The sequence below is a fragment of the Homo sapiens genome, chromosome 11 (genome assembly GCF_000001405.40).
Source record: "Homo sapiens chromosome 11, GRCh38.p14 Primary Assembly".
Classification (NCBI taxonomy): Eukaryota; Metazoa; Chordata; class Mammalia; order Primates; family Hominidae; genus Homo; species Homo sapiens.
Genome location: NC_000011.10, coordinates 66139608 through 66157279, shown reverse-complemented (window position 1 = coordinate 66157279; position 17672 = coordinate 66139608). Strand labels below are relative to the sequence as shown.

Below are 17672 nucleotides of genomic sequence, written 5' to 3'. Positions count from 1 at the left end.
TGTGATCTCCTCTCCCAATCTCTTCATCCTTATAGATTTGTAACTTTTTTAAAAGAAAATTCCTTTACTGTCATTTTAGTGGGGTTGGGGAGGGAGGAAATATAATCCATCTCATTTCTCCATCTTTTCTAAAAGTCTCTCCTGACCCTGAAGACATCTGTTCATTTGTCATTGGTCACAACTTGGTAACATGTACCATCCTACGTAATTGAGGGGAGACAAAATTATCAAACAAAGCAAAATGACCAGAACTTGGGGTCAGAACATTCTTCCTAGAAGAACATCACCACAAAGAAGAATCTGATACCTGAACAAGAAAGAGGTTCTGGGAAAGAGAATAAACAACCTAAAGTATAATCATCACCTAGAGAGTGAATACTGAATAGCTGCCTTTATTAAACCATGGAAAGATTTTTTTTTTTTTTTCGAGACAGAGTCTCGCTCTGTCGCCCAGGCTGGAGTGCAGTGGCGCCATCTCGGCTCGCGCAAGCTCCGCCTCCCAGGTTCACGCCATTCTCCTGCCTCAGCCTCCCGAGTAGCTGGGATTATAGGTGCCCACCACCACGCCCGGGTAATTTTTTGTATCTTTAGTAGAAACAGGGTTTCACCGTGTTAGCCAGGATGGTCTCGATCTCCTGACCTTGTGATCCGCCTGCCTCGGCCTCCCAAAGTGCTGGGATTACAGACATGAGCCACCATGCCCAGCCGGAAAGATTTTTTTAAAAAACAACTTTAGGCCAGGTGCAGTGGCTCACGCCTGCAATCCCAGCACTTTGAGAGGCCAAGACGGATGGATCACTTAAGGCCAGGAGTTCAAGACCAGCCTGGCCAACATGGTGAAACCCCATCTCTACTAAAAACACAAAAATTAGCTGGGCGTGGTGGTACATGCCTGTAATCCCAGCTGCGGAAAGCAGGAGAATGGCTTGAACCCGGGGGGCAGAAGTTGCAGTGAGCCGAGATCACACACCACTGCACTCCAGCCTGGGGGACAGAGCAAGACTCTGTCTTAAAAAAAAAAAAACTATATATATATATATATATATATATATATATATATATATATATATATATAATTTAAAAAATGAAACAACTTTGTGGAGGATATAATTTACAGACAATAAACAAAATTTACATACAATATACCAGTGGAAACACCCCCACAATAAAGACACTGAGCATTTCCATCACCCTTGAAAGTTCCTTTACGCCTCTTTGCAATCTTCCCTCCACCCAAGCCCCAGGCAATCACTCCTTTATTTTATTGTCACTATCCACTGGTTTGCACCTTTGAGACTTTTATATAAATATACAGCATGTACACCTCTGGGTCTGGCTTCTTTCACAAAGCATGTTTTTGAGCCAGATCCATGCTGTCTAGAGCTCCTTTTTCCTGCTCAGAGCTCTCATTGGACTGGGACAGCACAGTTTGTTCATCCATTCACCTGATGAGCCCCCGGATTGTTTCCAGCCTTTGGCCGTCATGAATACGCTGCTACAAACACTCATGGAGAAGCCTCTGCGTTTTCATTCCTCTCAGATAAATATCTAGGCATGGAATTACTGTATCCTTGAGTAACTGTTGTTTAACTTTAAAACAAACTACTGTTCTCTAAACTAGTACTACTTTACATTCTCAACAGAGGATATGAAAGTTCTGCTTGTGCCACATCCTTGCCAACACCTGGAGCTATCAGTCTCTTAAATTTTAGCCATACGTAGAGGGTAAAGAGCGGTAGTTCATTATGGCTGGAAATTGCTTTTCTCTGATAATTAATAATATGAAGTATTTTATGTAGCTCCTGGCCACTGTTTTATCTTACCTTGTGAAGTATACTTTGAAATCTTTTGTGCATTTAAAAAATGGGGTTACTATTACTGAACTGTAAGAGTTCTTTACAATCCTTTGTCAGATTTATCTATTGTAAACATTTTATCCCATATTGTACATTTTCTTCATTCCTTTCTGAAAAAGCACATTTCAATTTTGATAAAGTCCAATTTAGCATTCATTTATTTTATGGTATGTGCTTTTTGTATCCTACTTAGAAAATCTTTTCACACCCAGAAGTCACATGAACGTTTTCCCCTATAATTTTTCCAGAAGCTTTATAGTTTTAACTCGTTTAGGACTTTGGTCCGTTTTGAGCTTTCTGGGCAGTGTATAAGGTATGGGTTAATGTTTGTTTTCTTCCACACAGATATTTAGTTGCTGCTGTACCATGTGTTGAAAAGATGTTCCTTTCCCCATTGAATTGCCTCAGGACCTTTGCTGCAAATCAATTGTCTATTTACGTGTGGATCTCTTTCTGGATTCCATCTTCTCATTTATGTACATGTCTATTATTTTGCCAGTATCACAGCCTTGCGGTGCTGTAGAAGTCAGTCCTCAATTTTTGCTGGCTTTGCCAGTTTTAAGTACTTTGCATTCCATACACATTCTAGAACCAGCTTTTCAATTTCTACAACAAAAATACGCAGAAATTTTGATTGAGAATGTATTGAATCTACAGATGAATTTGTAGAAAATTGATTATGTTTATGATACTGAGATTTCCAATCCACGAGCCTATTTATACTAATATTTTGTAGTTTTCAGTATGTAAGTTTTACATACATTTTGTTAAATTTATCCCTAGTACTTCATGTATTTGGATGATATGGCAAGTGGAATACTATACTTAAAATTTTTTTTCCAGTTATCTGTTATTTTGGTATTCTGACCAAAACATAAATGGTTTTCTTGATATACTGACCTTGTATTCTTACAGTAGTGAGATCCTACTGTATCTCGCTAAACTCACTTACCAGTCCTAGTAGCCTCTCTATTTTTATTTTTTAGAGACAGGGTCTCACTCTGTTGCCCAGGCTGGAGGGCAGTGGTGCTATCATAGCTCACTGCAGCCTTGAATTCCCAGGCTCAAGCAATTCTCCTGCCTCAGCCTCTAGAGCAGCTAGGACTACAGGTGTGCACCACTACAATAAGCTAATTTTTAAAACTTTTTTGCAGAGATGGGATCTCACTATGTTGCCCAGGCTGGTCTTGAATTCCTGGCCTCAAGCAATACTCTTGCCTTGGACTCCCAAAGCACTGGGATTACTGACGTGAGCCACTGCACCTGGTTCAGTATTTTGAAGCTCTGTTATCAGGGACATACACATTGAAGATTTTTATAGCTCTGTAAGATACTGACCCTTTTATCATTATAAAGTATCCTTAATCTCTAGCAATATTCCTCATCTTAAAATTTATTTCATTTGATGTTAATATCGCCACTTCAGCTTTCTTATGTGTATTCTTTTCATGGTATAATCTTTTTCCATCCTTTCACTTTTAACCTGTGTCTCTGTGTTTAAAGTGTGTCTCTTCTAAGCAGGTAAAATGTACAAATCTTACAACAGTAAATTTCCATTTGCCCTGCCCCATCTTAGTGCTACTGTTGTCATAATTACACCTATATACATATTATGTTTAAAAGGTTTTTTTTGTTTGTTTGTTTTGAGACAGTCTCGCTCTGTCACCCAGGCTGGAGTGCAGTGGCACCATCTCGGCTCACTGCAAGCTCCGTCTCCCGGGTTCACGCCATTCTCCTGCCTCAGCCCCCAGAGTAGCTGGGACTACAGGTGCCCACCACCATGCCGGGCAATTTTTTTGTATTTTTGGTAGAGACGGGGTTTCACCGTGTTAGCCAGGATGGTCTCGATCTCCCAATTTCGTGATCCGCCCACCTGAGCCTCCCAAAGTGCTGGGATTACAGGCGTGAGCCACCGCGCCTGGCCAGGTTTTTTATTTTTTAGGTAGAGAAAAGGTCTCACCATGTTGCCCAAGCTGGCCTCAAACTTCTGGGCTCAAGCAATCCTCCCACCTTGGCCTCCCAAAGGGCTGAGATTACAGGTGTGAGCCACTGTGACCAACCTATATGTACATTATAAACCCAGCACTAGAGTGTTATAAAATCTTTAAAATCTTGTTTCTTATGTCACCAGCAGGCACAGTGGCACATGCCTGTAGTCTCTGCTACTCAGGAGGCTGAAGCAGGATGATAGCTTGAGCCCAGGAGTTCAAGGCTATAGTGCACCATAATTGTCCTTGTGAATAGCCAACACACTCAAGCCTGGGCAACATAGTGAGACCCCCATCTCAAAAAAAAACACATATGTATCTTAAAGAAATTAGAGAAGGAAAAAAATCATAGTCTTTTATATTTACCTACATATTTACTATTTCCAATGCCCTTTATTTCTTCCTGTAGATGAGTTACCACCTGGTATCATTTCCCTTCATTCTGAAAACTTCTTTTAGTGGAAGTCTGCTGGTGATGAATTCTCTCAATTTTTGTTTTTCTGAAAATGTCTTTAGCCCTCATTTTTGAAAATGTGTTTCTCTGGATACTGGATTCTTGGTTGACAGGGTTTTTCTCTCAGTATTTGACTATACTGTTCCAGTGTCTTCTGGCCTCCTTCATTTCTGATGAAAAGTCAGTCACATTTGTAACACTGATCCCTTTTATGTAATGTGTCACTTTTCTCTACCTGCTTCCCCTCCCCATGCAAGTTCAGAGACGTAATGTGCTGATGTTGTAACAAGGTTCAGAGGGTGGCACACCTCACACACATGCATGAACACCCAATCGTCACACTCATGAGCTGCAAAAGGATCTCTATCTGCTTTTAAGATTTTCTTTTTATCTTTGGTTTCAGCAATTTGACTATGATATGCCTATGAGTGCTTTTCCTTTGTGCTCAGACTCCACTGAACTTCTTGAATCTATAGTGTTTTCTACCATATTTAAGAAGTTTGGGGATATTATTTCTTCAAATATTGTTTTTTGCCTATTTTTCTCTTCCCTTTCTAAGACTCCAAGTACACTTATGTTAGGCTACCTGATATCGTCCTACAAGTCTCTGAGGCTCTACTCACTTTTCTTCAATCTTTGCTCCTCTCTTCATTGGATGGGATAATTTCTATTGATCTATCTTCAACGGCACAGATTCTTTTCTCTGTCATTTCAAAACTGCTGTTGAGCACATCTAGTGAACTTTTTTTTTCTTTTGAGACATGTTGTCAGCCAGGCTGGAGTGCAGTGGCACGATCACAGCTCACTGCAGCCTCGATCTCTTGGGCTCAAACGATCCTCCCACCTCAGCCTCCCAAGTAGCTGGCACTACAGGCACATACCATCATGCCTGGCTCATTTTAAAATTGCTTTGTAGAGGTGGGGTCTCACTATGTTGCCCGGGCTGGTCTCAAACTCCTGAGCTCAAGTGATCCTGCTGCCTTGACCTCCCAAAGTTGTGGGATTATAGGTGTAAGCCACTGCACCCGGCCTCCAGTGAGTTTTTATTTCAGCTATTACTTATTTGAGCTCTACAACTTCCATTTTTTCACTTTCCATTTCTTTGTTACAATTTCTCTATCTGTTCACTTATTTTTCCTTTAATTCTTTGATCATAGCACAGTGGCTTTGCAGTCTGCCTGCAAAATCCAACACTGTACCCACTTAGATGCTCAGAGTCAGTCTCTACTGACTGCTTTTCTTCCTGAGTATGAGTTAGACTTTCCATTTTATTTACATGTCTAGTAATTGTAGATTGAAAACTTGGCATTGTAGATAAGATGTTATAGCAACTCTGGATTCTACTGTGTTCTTCTGAGAACTTTCTCTTTTTATATTCTAGTAGGCAGTTAACTTGCCTGGATTCAAACTGCGAACTGTCTCTCCTGTCGTATGAAGCAGCTGCTATCTCTGCTCAGCTCTTACAACGTCTAGCCTAGCTCCCTGGGGTCTCCCATGCTTCTGTGTAATCTGGCAGACAGCCAGGGATTTAGGCTGATCATACTCAGATTTAGGGGCTCACACTCTGTGACTTTTGTGTTCTTGTGATTTCCTCCTAAGTTTTCAGCTGCTTGGGCAATATTAGGGTCTTTCCTCTGAACCCCAAGCCAGTAAGGCTTCAGCTTTCCACTGCTTCGCTGCTCACAGTTTAGGGATATACTGTTTTAAAAAGCATGAACCTCACAGATCTCATCTAGTATAGGTCTGTCTTTTAAGGGTAGATTCCTCTCTAGCCTCTGCCTGCTTGCTTTGTTTCATTGGTTGGCTGGTTTTTATTTTTGTTTTTGTCTTGCTGGGCTCCCTGGGATTTCACTATACATTTAGAGTTTAATAGTCAACCAGGAATTTGGGCAGTTTTCACTCAGATGTGGGGCCTCCCCCTTTCTGTAGTCCTCTCTTGTTTCCAGGATTCCCCCCTGAACTTTCCAGCTTGTCTTCCATCCCTGACTTCTCTTCTTTGGCACCTCTCATCTGTAAGGCTGCAGCTTTCCACTATCATTTCTTTCTACTGAAACCACCATGGGTACTGATGCATAACCTCTGGCAAAAAAGTCACAAACTTGCAATTCTTGCTCCTTCTATTATAGTGTTTCAGGAGTCAATTCTCCTCAGGTTCTAGGGACAGCTTTTGGATGCTTTTAGTTGTTTCTTATATTTTACCCAGATCTTTCAATTGTTATCTGTAGGAGGGTTTATGCAACCACTTCAATCTCCCTTAATGGAAATTTCCTCTAATCCAACAGAAAGTAATTTACTTTTTGGATTTTTAAATATAACACCTTACTTTTAAAGGCATAGTGCTATAAACAAAACATTTAAAAGTAACACGTTTTCAAGTAATGAACAATAACACTTCAGTGGCAAAGTCCTAATTGTCTTTAGAAATTTATTAGATCAAATATTCCAAATGTTGCATGTGATAAAGTCATATAGCAAAGGTAGAAAGGCTTAAAATGTTTCTTTTTTTTTTCTATTTTAGTGAAAAGGAAACAACATAAAAGAAAAAGAATAGCTCAGTTAGATATAGGAATTCTGTTCCTAGAAATAGAATCTGTTTCCTGCCTAGAAGTCAGCAAAACCCAGTCTGTTCTACATTTAGTAACTGGAGAAGATGGGAAAAGCTAGAGCTCTTTGTTTCGGTTTTGTTTTGGTTTTGTTAGTCTCAATGGTTATTTTTGGGAGAAAGAGAAAGAACGTATGTCAGTGGATCAAATAACTGTATATAGATTACTGTATTGGATTCCAATTGCTGTAGAGAATAATTACTATTTTATATGTCTTTAATAAAGTATAAATATTCACAGATGGTCTGTTATGTGCAAAGCACTATATGATAGGAATAGAGAGAGGGGATGTGGGGGAGAAATTGAACAAATATGAATAAGATCAGTTTTGGCCGAGCGTGGTGGCTCAAGCCTGTAATCCCAGCACTTTGGGAGGCCGAGACGGGTGGATCGCCTGAGGTGGCAAGTTCGAGACCAGCCTGACTAACATGGAGAAACCCCATCTCTACTAAAAATACAAAATTAGCCAGGTGTGGTGGTGCATGCCTGTAATCCCAGCTACTCAGGAGGCTGAGGCAGGAGAATTGCTTGAACCTGGGAGGCAGAGGTTGCAGTGAGCCGAGATCATGCCACTGCACTCCAGTCTGGGCAACAAGAGCGAAACTCCGTCTCAAAAAAAAGATCAGTTTTGCCCCCCAAAGATCTTATAATGTACTGAACAGACATGTAAAACACACACACACACACACACACACACACGAACACAAGATGTGGAATGGATGTAGAAAGTGCTGTTTATAGACCGGGTACTTGATTTCATCTCACAATTTCAAATACAAAGTTAATGTTATGCTATGAGCTACTTTTTAAAATGTGTATGTTTATAAAATATTTGTTTTTAAAGTAATAGTTTGAAAAGTAGAAAAAGTAGAAACACACAGTAGGAAAAAAACCTCTTATTTTGGAAATATATAATAAAGTGGAACAATCCTATAAATCGCCAGAGAAGATCACTATTAAAAGGCTGAAGAAAAAAAAGTGCGTGTTGGCTGGGGATGGTGGCTCACACCTGTAATCCCAGCACTTTGGGAGGCCGAGGCAGGCGCATCACCTGAGGTCAGGGGTTCGAGACCAGCCTGACCAACGTGGTGAAAACCTGTCTCTACTAAAAATACAAAAATTAGTCATGTGTGGTGGCGCACGCCTGTAATCCCAGCTACTCGGGAGGCTGAGGCAGACTTGCTTGAATCCAGGAGGCAGAGGTTGCAATGAGCCAAGATCACACCATTACACTCCAGAATGGGTGACAGAGGGAGACTCTATCTCAAAAAAAAAAAAAAAAAAAAAAGTGCGTGTGCATGTGCACATGCTCACACATACCTTTGAGCATATACTTCTGTGCTGCTCAATCTCTTTTCGACCAAATGCATCACATTTAGCAGCTGTTAAGTGGACACCTTTCCATGTTAAAACATATATAGTGACTTCATTCTTTTTTGTTTTGTTTTGTTTTGAGATGGAGCCTCACTCTGTCACCTGGGCTGAAGTGCAGTGGTGCAATCTCGGCTCACTGCAACCTCCACCTCCCTGGTTCAAGCAATTCTCACACCTCAGCCTCCCAAGTAGCTGGGATAACAGATGCACGCCAACATGCCCAGCTAATTTTTGTATTTTTAGTAGAGAAGGGGTTTCACCATGTTGGCCAGGCTGGTCTTGAACTCCTGACCTCAAGTGATCCGCCCTCCTTGGCCTCCCAAAGTGCTGAGATTACAGGCGTGAGCCACCGCACCCGGCCTGACTTCATTCCTTTTAATGGTTATAATAGTTAGTCAAAATAAATATACTACTTACTTAATCAGTCCCTTTCTGATGGGCATTTGACTTTTTTATAGTTCTTAGTTATTACAAAGTTATTGTAGTGTTTCTATGATATGTGTTCTTAAAACTGAAAGTGCTAAGTCAAAAGGACTAAACATTTAAATTTTTAATGGCAGGCCAGGCATGGTGCTCACACCTGTAATGCCAGCACTCTGGGAGGCCGAGGCAAGAGGATCATTTGAGGCCTGGAGTGTGAGTACAGCCTCACGAGACACCCATCTCTATAAAAAATACAAAAATTAGCCAGGCATGCTGGTGTGTGCCTGTAGTCCCAGCTACCTGGGAAGCTAAGCTGAGAGGATCACTTGAGCCCAGGAGGTCAAGGCTGCAGTAAGCTGTGATCACACCACTGCACTCTAGCCTGGGCAATAGAGTGAGACTCTGTCTCAAAAAATAATAATAATAATTAATTTTTAAAAAGTACATTTTTAATGGCTACTGCCCAACTAGCTTTCAAAAGGATTATGCCAATTACACTCAACAAACTACAAGAGAGTCTCAGGTATTTTTTTTTCCTTATGTCTTTTGTTATTATGGCCGTATATTTCATTTCTAAATTTTAAAAATTTATTTTTAATTTTTGTGGGTATATAGAAGGTGTATATATTTATAGGTTATTTGAGATGCTTTGATATAGGCATGCAATACCTAATAATCACATCAGGGTAAATGGGGTATCCATCATCTTAAGCATTTATCATTTGTGTCACAGACAATAATTAGTTATTTTTATATCACAATTATTTCTGATTACAGTCACACTGTTGTGCTAGCAAATACTAGCTCTTATTCATTCTTTCTTTTTGTACCAATTAACTAACCCACTTCCCTCCCACTACCCCCTAACCTTCCCAGCCTCCAGGAATCACCCCTTTACTCTCTATTCTACATGTTTTAACTCCATAATACATTGTTATTATTTTTGCTTTTTACTGTCAATTACCATTTAGAAAAATTACAACATTAGAAAATTTCTTATGTTTACCTACATACTTACTATTTTTAGCATTCTTTATTCCTTTAAATTGACTCAAGTTTCCATTGTTATCATTTTCCTCTTACCAGGAGAATGTTCTTTACTACTTTAAGCCTCAGCTATTTTTATATATTATCTTACATTTACCCAAATATTTGGCAATTTTGGTGTTCTTCCTTTAGTCTTGTGGATCTAAATTACTGTCCATTGGTAGAATTTTCCTCTCAGTCAAAAAAACTTCTTTCAGGTAGATCTCGTAGCAAGCAATTCCTAGTCTTTGTTTATCTAGGAATGTCTTTATTTTGCCTTCATTTTTGAAGAATACTTTTGCTAGATATAAAAATTTTGTTTTGTTTCGTTTTTTCTTTCAGTACTTTGAATATGTCATTCCATTGCCTTCTACCCTACACTGTTTCTGCTGAGAAGTCAGCAAACATTCATACTGTTACAATAAAAAACTTGAGGAGTTATCTTTTTCTTGCTGCTTTCAAGACATTCTTATTCTTTTTGTCTTTGTCTGTTTTTAGACAGTGTCTTACTTGGTCGCCCAAGCTGGAGTGCAGTGGCAGGCATGATGTCGGCTCACTGCAAGCTCCACTTTCCAGGTTCAAGCGATTCTCCTGCCTCAGCCTCCTGAGTAGCTGGGATTACAGGCATGTGCCATCATGCCTAGCTAATTTTTGTATTTTTTAGTAGAGACGGGGGTTTCACCATGTTGGCCAGGCTGGTCTCGAACTCCTGACCTCAAGTGATCTGCCCACCTCAGCCTCCCAAAGTGCTGGGGTGCTGGGGTTACAGGCGTGAGCCACTACACCCAGCCTCTTTTTGTCTTTGCCTGTCAATTATTTGACCAGGATATGCCTAGGTGTGGATCCCTTAATATTTATCCGATTTGAAGTTTTCATAGATTCATGATTTTCATCAAATGTAGGAAGTTTCTGGCTGTTACTTCATACATTTTTTTTCTGCCCTTTCTTCTCCTTTCCTTGTAGGAGTCTGTGACATGTGTGTTGGTATGCCTGATGTTGTCCCACAGATCTCTGAGGCTCTGTTCATTTTTTTCTCTCAGGTTCTTCAGATTGGCAGTTTCTATTGATCTATCTTTAAGTTCACTGATTCTTTCTTCTGTGTCTCAAATCTGCTGTTGAATTCCTGTAGTGAATTTTTAATTTTAGTTACTGTATTTTTCATCTCCAGAATTTGCATTTGGTTCTTTTTTACAGTTTCTGTTTTATTGAGATTTATTGAGTCACTGTCATCATACATTTCTTTAAATATTTAAACATGACATGCATAGTTTCCTGTATTTCCTGAACACATGTATAATAGCTGTGTTGAAGTCTTTGTTTACTAAACCTAACATCTAGGCTCTCTCAGAGACAGTTTCTATTGACTGATTATCTTCCCTGAATATGAACCACCCTTTCCTGTTTTTTTTGTCCCATTAGTGTTTGTTTTTCTGTTTGTTTTCTGTAGCCATTCCTTACAGACATAACCATAATAAATTACAGACATAATCATAATTTTAAAAAACTAGATGTTTTAGATAATATATTGTAGCAACTCTCAACTGTAATTTTTCACGTGTGTTATTTCTTTAGTAATTTGCCCTGACTAAATCTACAAAATCTGTCTCCCCTGTGATGTGTGGCTATTTGATGTCTCTACTCAGTTTCTTTTCTTCTTTTTTCCAGTTTTTCTTTTCAAATTCTTGTTTTTATTTTTAAGCCTGACTTGCTGACACACAGCTTAGTGATCAGGCAATGATTGGTTACAGGTTGTGTTTGCATCTCTTGAGCCTACTAGGCTTCCAACCTCTGCCCATGGGTCTGTGCAGGGTTAGGGAGCAAAAGTTCAAGCAGTTTTCAGGTCTATCCCACTTTTCCTTTCGGATCAGCCCTGTCACATTTCCTTCATACGTTCATGCAGATTCCCAGCCAACCAGGGACAAATGGGTACCATGGGATCTCTCTAGTTTTACCTGCATGTGTGCAGAGGCTTCTAAGTCAGCCAGAAATGTGTGGACAGCCCTTCAGACCCCTCTGTAACTGTCTCATTTCCAGGATCTCTGTTAATTAAGTTTTGGGCTAGTTTGCCAGTCTGTTGCTTGACCCACTTGGGATAGCTCTCTCACTACCAGAACTGTTGGCCTTCCTTGTTCTCTTGCTACTGAGGGTCATTACTTTCACTGTCAATGCCACCGGACAGGGGCTTTTCACCTGCTCCAAATCAAGCGCATTACCTCTGGCAGCCAAGCTGTTAGTTTTCACGGCCTGCTGTACCCTAACAGAATTACCACACCAATGGCAGGAAGGGATGGGAGTAACCCCCTACCATTTAGGCAAGGAGTCAAAGACTCCCATTGTTCTTACCTGAAGTTTGGCAGTTTCTCTTGGATAAATGCTTCTCCATTTCTTTCTTGCATTTATTCCATTTCTAGAGCCCTGAAACAGTTGCTTTTAACAATTTTGTCTGGTATTATTGTTGTTTTGTGGGGAGAGATTTTGACTTCCTCACTGTAACTACTAAAGTTCTGATTCTGTCCTCAGCTACTTTTAAATGCCCTCTTTCATCTTCAAACGTATCACCTCATCACATGACATAAAAGTGCACTGTAAGTCAAATGTGAGATCATCAAGAATAATGAACAGGCCTGGCGTGATGGCTCACATCTGTGATCCCAGCACTTTGGGAGGCCAAAGTGGGTGGATCACCTGAGGTCAGGAGTTCGAGACCAGCCTGGCCAACATGGTGAAACCCTATCTCTACTAAAAATACAAAAAATTAGCTGGGCGTCGTGGTGCATGCCTGTAATCTCAGCTACTTGGGAGGCCAAGGCAAGAGAATTGCTTGAACCCGGGAGGCAGAGGTTGCAGCGAGCCGAGATTGTGCCACTGCACTCCACCCTCGGCCACAGAGCGAGATCCATCTCAAAGAAAAAAAAGAATAATGAACATACTTCACACCAGTTGTCTTTCTAAGCTATTATACCATGCATTTCTAGGTCTTGAGAGTGGAAAATGTAAAAGATTGCCGTACAACTCTATATTGATCTAACAATAAACCAAATAAATGCCTGTGTTTCCTTCAAGTCTTATCTAAGCACCTGGAGCAAGTTTTACCTTCATTCTCACACATGAAAGAAAACTCAGACAGCCCTGATAGCCTTCTATGTATATTTGTACAAATAACAAATTCAAGATTTGTTTTCCTCTTCTCTAAAAAACTTTGTTTACTCTTTTGACATGATACATTTCCTTTTTGTTATAGAAATGGTTCATAGTGCTGTACCTTACCCTACTAAAACTGCAAATCACCTGGCTAGCTCTTGTCATACAGCAAACACATATTATTGTTACTATTAGTTAGTCTTCTCATTCTTTGATAAGGACCCAACCCAAGAAAAGGCTAAATATAGTCCATTATCAGTAAGAGGCAAACAGGAATCAAGGTTCAAGAACTTCTGACTCTTAGTTCTATGAATACGCATCTCACAAAATTAAAAGCATTTTTCAATATTGTTACCATGTTGACACCGTTAAGTTTGTGACAACACATTTACTTCACACAGTCCACTCTAAGTTAATTCCAATATTACTTAAGAAACTTTAAAAAATGCTTTGTTTCACAAAAGTCTTCAACAGGGGCCAGGTGCAGTGGTTCACCTCTGTAATCTCAGCACTTTGGGAGGCCAAGGCGGGCAGATCACTTGAGGTCAGGAGTTGGAAACCAGCCTGGCCAACATAGCAAAACCCCATTTCTACTAAAAATACAATAATTAGCCAGGCATGGTGGTGTGAGCCTGTAAACCCAGGTTCTTGGGAGGCTGAGACATGAAGATCGCCTGAACCCAGGAGGCAGAGGTTGCAATGAGCCGAGATTGTGCCACTGCACTCCAGCCTGGGCAACAGAGTAAGACTCTGTCTTAAAAAAACAAGAAAGAAGGTCTTCAACAGCAAATGGCTTCCCAAACTAAGTACCGTATGTTAAATCAGGGCAAAAATCATGGCAAACTAAATTTCCCATTCATTTCTTCCTGGGGGTTAGTGGTAGAACATGACAGGCAGATGCGAATGGGAAGTGCGGTAACAATACTAACAAGGACTCAGAAGCAACCAGCCCCAGCCTCTGGAGAACCCACAGCACGTTGGCATCAAGCAGACAAATGAGCCTTTGCTCTGAGGGCTTCAGACCTGTTCCAGAACCCTTCCCAGACAGGGCAGAGCTCATAACACTGCAGCCTCCAAAGTGCTCCAACAGGGGATGCTCCACCTGGGGAAGGGGAGATGCTACAGGTGATGTCTCCTTTACAGCAAGAAGTTTTAAATAATCCAGACTCAGTCTCTTGAAGCCAGCAGTCCATTACAAGTAGAGTTAACTGATAAGGCGGAATTGATTACAAAAAGGTAATTCAATTGCAAGACTCCTGACAACACTATAATCTAATACTGCTTAGGAAGGAAATCACTCTTTCTCTTTGGCATTTTCATTAACAGCACCACCTTACTGCAGTTTAAAAAGTACCATCAGGAAAAATAGCCTCTTTCACTGTCCCTCCTAGATAGATTAATCTGACCTGTCTGTAAATAATGGAATTTCTATTCAAGCCCCAGCTTGTGATTCATTTTGTTTGACCAGTAATGGCATGCGAGATGACAAATATTCATGGATTGCGGGTTTTTTCCATGAAAGTGGCTAACAAGTAAGGGGACAATGTTGAAACCCAAGACATCATTCAGAGAAACCCAAGCCTCACAGGGCTGCTCTCCTGGGAGAAGCAGTGTTAAATGGCAGCAGGTTGAACCTTCTTCCCTCTTTTTTTTTCTCTTAGTAGAGACATTGCCCATGCTGGTCACAAACCTTCTTTTTCAGGAGCCCCACTCCCATTCAGCTTAAATTGAAAGTTCTAACTATCAGGTTTCAACGTAATTATCTCCTTCCTCTTTTTTTTTTTTTTTTTTTAATAAAATGCTGATAAGCCAGACGCAGTGCCTCACGCCTGTAGTCCCAGCACCTTGGGAGGCCAAGGTGGGAGGATTGCCTGAGCTCAGGAGTTCAAGACCAGCCTGGGCACCATGGCGAAACCCCATCCCTACTAAAAAATACAAAAAATTAGCTGGGCGTGGTGGCAAGTGCCCATGGTCCCAGCTACTCAGAAGGATCAGGCGTGAGGATCAGGTGGCGGTTGCAGTGAGCCGAGATTGCGGCATTGCACTCCAGCCTGGGCGACAGTGTGAGACCTTGTCTCACCCAAAAAAATAAAAATTAAAATTAAAAAATGCTGATTCTTAAGCGATGAACACATTTTACCTGGGTTTTGGAAAAAATATATGCAGCCCAGCTGGGCAGTGACTGCACACCCAGCACACATTGGTACAGAACAATGTCCATAATCCCAGCACTCTGGGAGCCGGGGCAAGAGGATCAGTTGAGCCCAGGAGAGCAGCCTGGACAACATATCAAAACTGCATCTCTGGCCGGGAGCGGTGACTCATGCCTGTAATCCCAGCACTTTCGGAGGCTAAGGCAGGCAGATCTCTTGAGGTCAGGAGTTTGAGACCAGCCCAGAGGCCAACAATGGTGAAACCCCGTCTCTACTAAAAATACAAAAATTAGCTGGGTGTGGTGGTGGGCGCCTATAATCCCAGCTACTCAGGAGGCTGAGGCAGGAGAATCGCTTGAACCCGGGAGACAGAGGCTGCCGTGAGCTGAGATGTGCCACTGCACTCCATTCTGGGTGACAAAGTGAGATTCCGTCTCAAAAAACAAAACAAAACAAACAAAAAACAACTGCATCTCTACAAAAAACAACAAAAAATAGCTAGGTGTGGTGGCACATACCTGTAGGGCCCATTACGTAGGAGGCTGAGGCACCAGGATCACTGGAGCCCAGAAGTCTGAGGTTACAATGAGCATTTTTTTTTTTTTTTTGAGATGGAGTCTCATTCTGTTGCCCAGGCTAGAGTACAGTGGTGTGATCTCGGCTCACTGTAGCCTCCGCCTCCTGGGTTCAAGTGATTCTCCTGCCTCAGCTACCTGAGTGGCCAGGACTACAGGCACCCACCACCATGCCCGCCTAATTTTTATATTTTTAGTAGAGATGGGGTTCTACCATGTTGGTCAGGCTGGCCTCAAACTCCTGATCTCAGGTGATCCGCCCGCCTTGGTATCTGAAACTGCTGGGATTACAGGGGTAAGCAACAGTGCCTGGCCTACAATGAGCTTTCATTGCACCACTGCACTCTAGCCTGGGCCACACGGCGAGACCCTGTCTCTGGGGAAAAAAAAGGAAAAATGCATATAAATATATTTAATCTGTTCTGTGTTAATAACATTAGGAATGTGAAAAAGCATTCCAAACTCATCAAAGGAGAACTTAAAGATATAAAAGTAATATTTCATTAAACATACAAAAAGTTCAAGATACATAAAATTTTAAGACTTCATAAAATAGAACATTGCTGAATAAAAGAAAACAAAATGTGTAATGTACATAAAATATACAAATGTGAATTTATTCTTTGCATTTTAACAGCAAGAAATTGGAAACAATCTGAAGTCCATCAGTAAATAAGTTTCTAGTTAAATTATGGTAGAACCATACAATAAGATACCACGATATGTATGGTAGATCCATACAATAAGATACCAATAAGAAAGAAAACCAAAAAAAGCTCTTCATGTGGACATGTGGAAAGATCTCCAAGATTAATTTTTTCATGAAAAAACAAAATCAAGGTGCAGAACAATGTCCATAGTATGTTAACATTAATTTGTTTTAAGGTGAGAAAGAGACACTATATATAATTATATATAAATAAATTTATGTTTGCTTGTATTACATAAAAATAGTTGGAAAGATGCACAAGAAACTAATAAAGTACTTTTACTAATTTGGCAGGGTTGGAGGGGTGAGGAAAATTGGGAACTGAGCAGATGGGGAATTAAGGGGAGGACACTACTCGCTGTGTATCTCCTTCTATATCTTTTGAATTTTGAACCTTGTAAATGTATTGCCTATTCACACATTTAAAAAAACGAAACAAAGTGTTCTACCCAGTGGGCATCCCTCTCTCAGCCATGCACCGTGACGGCAGAGTACAAGTTACAAGTCATGCCTGAGTCTGGGAGGTCCACGGTTGGGAATCCATCACTGGCTTTTGTGAGCAAGGCAGGTCACGCGGATACAAAGCATCTTTCCCTGTCTGCTGAAGTAAAATCCATGAATAACTTCTCCAAACATTCCTAACCAAAACTCTCATATGTTAGGAAAAAGTTCCGAACTAGAGCTCAGTCAAAAATCTCCTCGGTTTGCAAGCACAGCTGTAGAGCTAAAGCTTCAGCACCCTCTAAAAGCTTGTCAGAAATGCAGACTTATAGGTCCCACCCCAGGCCAGCTGAATCAGAATCTGCATTTTAACGAGACACCCAGAACATTCTTACCCGCATTAGAGTTTGAGAAGCACTGAGCTATGGTCCACTTTCAATTAAGGTTTTTACCACATCAGAGTTGGATTTTGAGCAAAAGCCACGTTATCAGATTCAGTACGTGGGTAAAGGTTGGTTTTGCCAAATACAAGTAGGCCTTCTCCTGTAGTTTGGCACCACTTGAGTAACTACTGTCAATATTTGCAACTTTACAACCACTATGGAGAACAGTTTGGAGGTTCCTCCAAAAATAAAAACAGAGCTACCTTACAATCCAGCAATCCCATTGCTAGGTATATACCCCAAATAAAGGAAATCAGTATAGAAAAGAGGTCTCTGCATTCCCATGTTTACTGCAGCACTATTCACAGTAGGCAAGATTTGAAAGCAAGTGTCTATCAACAGATGAATGGATAAATAAATGCAGTACATATATATACAATGGAGTACTATTTGGCCACAAAAAAGAATGTGATCCTTTGGATGGATGGATGAAACATGGATGGAACTAGATCATTATGTTAAATAAAATAAGCCAGGCACAGCAAG

General features: G+C 40.8%; 1 protein-coding gene and 1 non-coding gene across 4 annotated transcripts in view; both read right to left on the bottom strand.

The window, feature by feature from the left end:
- Positions 1-17672, bottom strand: part of PACS1 (phosphofurin acidic cluster sorting protein 1) — a 174473-nt gene that overhangs the window by 87465 nt on the left and 69336 nt on the right. The gene's annotated exons all lie outside the window — the stretch shown is intronic.
- On the bottom strand, positions 4555-4659 carry LOC124902833 (small nucleolar RNA U13). The gene has a single exon (XR_007063018.1). It is a non-coding gene; the product is annotated as a small nucleolar RNA U13 (small nucleolar RNA).